The sequence below is a fragment of the Homo sapiens genome, chromosome 3 (assembly GCF_000001405.40).
Source record: "Homo sapiens chromosome 3, GRCh38.p14 Primary Assembly".
NCBI lineage: Eukaryota > Metazoa > Chordata > Mammalia > Primates > Hominidae > Homo > Homo sapiens.
The window spans coordinates 163880818-163885333 of NC_000003.12; positions in this window are offsets into that span (position 1 = coordinate 163880818).

Genomic DNA, 4516 nt, shown 5'->3' on the forward strand with positions numbered 1-4516 from the left:
CATTTCCTTATTTGAGTTTCTTAAGAAACTGCCACAGGTCTAGCATATTCACTTTAAATTTTACACACTGATCATGACTTCACTAAAACGGCTTTGTTTCTCTTCATCTCAGTAATTTTTTCTCTTTCTCTACTATGTGGGCTCCATACTTAATATATATATTTTTAATTTACTATGTTTATTGTCTCCAAGTTTTGGCATAAGAAATTTCCCTCTCCTGCAATGACTTTTCTCTAATACATGTTCTTTCACTTATTCAAGGAACTTTCCTCATAATAGTGCTTAATACTTAAATATCCATCCTACTTATATCTAATGTTGGATATAAAGTGGAATAATATTCATTCTATATAAATGTTCTTTCGTCTTCTTCCCAGAGAGTAAATTTCCAATTTTATTGTAAGCTCTAAGTTGCCAGACACCAAGCCTAGTTTTGTTTATACCTGCCACTGTGTTCTGATACATTGAAATCTTACTAAATGGAGTGAAACATTTTGTGCAATAACCTAATAATCATCCAGTTAATGTACAACTTCAGTTGAAGCTTTATCTGTGCTGTCACATCATCTTGCAAATCCCTGAGACCCTGTATACTTGTTACCTTTTTATCTGTCAGAGATTTGGCTACAACTCGTAATCCCATTGATTTCTAGAGTTGTTTTGTCTGCTAGTTGGATATCTTCATCCTGGAAGCAATACATGAGTGAAATGCTCTTTTTCAGATCAAAGTGTAACAGTAGATAAGCTCACTTTCCAAGACTGCTTAAGAAGCTCTCAAATTCCACAGTATTAATCTTAGTTTGATGATTTTGACTTGTTACAGAAATTTACATCATATTTCCCAGAAATGTTCTTATCACTCATACCCTATGAATATTAAAAATGTCTAAAGCCTTGACATTTTTATTTGCATTGTTTCTACTTTGACACAAATATTAATGTTTCTTTGGTTATTATGTAGAAAATAATAACTGTATGTGATGCTCAAACATAACTAGAGACTTGAACCCAATTTGTACAGATGATTGCCTGAAAGGAATAGAGGTGTTAACGAATACAAGCTAAAGTCATACAGCTTCCAAAATGTTTTACCAATTACTACAAATCCTTAAAAGCTTACAAGTCAAAATTTCATGGTTCAAATGTCAAATGTAAATTGTGTTTTTCATTCTCACTTTTCCATTGTTGTTGTTTTTATAATTTAATGAAGGTTATTCAGCAAGGCTAAATAGAGTTATATGTTATTTTTTTGAGAGTTAACAATTGGGGAAAATTACAGTTTTTCGACGAATTTAAGGCATTGTTTTGAGATTCATTGACTATGTTTAACTAAGAGAAAACCAATGACTATTTATTGTTAAGCATAAGCCTCTCCGCTTTTTGGTTTAGTATCCCCTACAGGAAATCATTTGATCCTGCCCTACTCCACTGTTACTGTTTCACACAAGATTGCCTTCTCACTCTCTATCTACTTTACCTCCAAGGTTAGAGGAGTGTTAAAGTGCCAGGCACGTTAAATAAATAGCTACTCAGATCATTATATGTATCCTTCTCTCTAACTCTCCTCTAATTTCTAGTACAAACAGTCCCTGACTTACGGTGTCTCTACTTATTATTTTGCAACTTTAAATCATAGGGGAAGGTTGCAATTTCAATGTACCTCAAATTTTGAATTTTAATATTTTCCTGGGATAGTAATATGTAGTACATGAGATTCAACACTTAATTATAAAACAGCCTACAGTTAGGCAAAATCATCCAACACAAAGCCTAATGTAAGTGCTCTGAGCACATTTAAGGTAGGCTAGGCTGAACTATGATGTGATGTAGATTAAGTGTATTCAATTCATTTCATACATAAAATATTTTCAACTTACAATGAGTTTCTTGGGATATAAGCCCATTGTAAGCCAAGAAGCATCTGTATTTTAATGATCACATATAGCTTATTTATTCTTTTTATTTTTTTTAACCCCCATCTGTCTTCCTTCAATTAAATTCTATTGGACCCATTCCAACTGTGAGTAAGCTTCCCAATCAATATGGTTCATTTGGTTTCAATATTCCTTTCTTTCTTATCAAACTTGAAAATAAAGTTATCCCCAGTAGTGCTATATCTAAAAACTCTTAAACTGAATTACTAATATTATTTTACAATAATATTTTACAAGACTCCAAAGGTCCAAATTTATTTTTCCTTGCCCATTATATTTGAACATCTTTGTTCTACATTTTCTGCTTATTAGTACCATTTTGCTTATTAATAACAAAGCCTCACTTTTCATTTTTGAAACCCTGTGTTTTAGCAAAATAAAAAGATAACTGTTCATATTTGCACTTACTGTGTATCCAATACTATTCTACAAAGGACACTTTATTATTCAGTTATATACACACATATGTAAATACGAACTAAATGTAATACCAGCACCTTGGGAGGCCTAGGCGGTGGATCACCTGAGGTCAACTGTTAAAGACCAGCCTGGTCAACATGGTGAAACCCCATTTCTACTAAAAATACAAAAATTAGCCGGATGTGGTGGTGCGTAACTGCAATCCCAACTACTTGGGAGGCTAAGGCAGGAGAATGGCTTGAACCCTGAAAGTGGAGGTTGCAGTGAGCCAAGATTGCGCTGCTGCACTCCAGCCTGGGTGACAGATTGAGGCTCCGTCTCACAAAAATAAAAATAAAAATAAAAAAATCTAAATGGAATTCTACTTATACCCTCATGTTTTGGAAGTTTGGACAGTGATTTTGATCCTAACTTGGCCATTCACTAGCATTCTAACCAATAGTAACTATATGTAACGATTCTGCATCTTAATTATTTTTTATATAAAAAATAAAGATGATATTTATATCTGCCTCAACCTCCCCACATTATTTTTTATAGAGATCAAATAAGAGAATATATATAATACAATTTAAAAATTTAAAGTATAAAGCATACAAATCTTAATATTTGGAAAAAAAATAAATACCCTACTACTGATGAACTCTCATGAATCAGAATACTACAAAAATACATATGTGCTACTCATACCTGTAGTACCACCCTATCACAGTGTTATTAAGGACAGCCTCTAGCAGGAGAGTCTTTGTGTATTGAACTACGTTTTTATTAGTTTTCTGACATGAAACCAAAGCCACTGTAATGCTTTTTAGATGATAGTCAAAATTTCCCTGTCTCTAGTCCCTCATATTCATTCTCTTGTTACTCAATTAACAGCACTTTTTCCCAACTCTTCTTTTCTAGTAGCTTATTCTTTATTCTCATCTTTTAACTCAAACACTGAGATATGGTTATTCACTTATTATAAAGTGGTCTATTATGAATTAGCTATTTGATCTTGGATACTAGATCTGTCCCATTTTTCCTTTCCATTTTAAGGAAATCCTTTCCCTCATTAATTTCCTCTGAAAGCTAATTACAACCCCTCTCCTCAATATTGTGCCTCTAATTATTTTCTTATTTAAAGTGACTAGCAGCTATTATATACTGTTCCATAGCTTCCTGGTCACAGAAGTTAGGAGAATTAGAAAGTGGTTTGTGTTTCTTGAATGGGAATTCTGTGTTTCCTAAAAATATGGATATTCTGTTACTTTTGCAGTATCACCTAATTACTGTATCAATTGATGTGAATTTGTTAGAAATCTGGGTTCAAATCCAGTATCTTTCACTTTCAAATAATCAGACAAATTGCTTAATACTTCTATAACTTAATTCCTTTATCTGAAAAAATGAGGACCTACTTCTTAGGGTTATAAGGAGAACTAAAAAAATTTTTTTTACATTATGTATTGAAATTATTCTAGGCACATATTAAAGAATCAATGAATTCTTGTGCTTTTACTTCACCATTACAGAAAAGAAAGATCCCAGAACACAAATAAATTTATGTTTGTTTTAGCCATGGAATTTTTAAAATTATTTTCTTAGGAATATGTATATACAAAACCTATTATTGAAAACCGTTCTCAAAAACATATGGTCTGGGTTATATAAATCCATTTGGCTTTCTAAATTTTTCTTCACATTGAAGCCTATTCTATAAAGTGGTCCCTGAGATATGTCTGCAAGAATCCTAATATCTACTTACACAAAAAATATTTGTAAAAAATAGTTTTGATGCTTTTCAATAATTTTATATTCATTTATATATGTATGTATGCATATGTGCATATATAGGTTTATTCACTTATAATATTATTTACTAAACACTTCTTGATCTTAGGAAGTATGTTTGTCCTTAAGAATATGAGAAATTAATACATTTTTATAAATCTAGGTAACTTAATATCTAATGGGAGAGACATAATCTGTCTCTATATACCTATGTAGCTATCTATCTACTTTATGACCTATTGTCAGAAGTGGTTGAACCAGAGCAACTCCATCTTGAATAGGGGCTGGATAAAACAAGGGTGAAACTTACTGGTTTCCTAGAGATTTAGTATCTAGAGGTTTCGTGTCTAGAGGTTAAATTTCAAAATATTTAAACATACTATGACTTT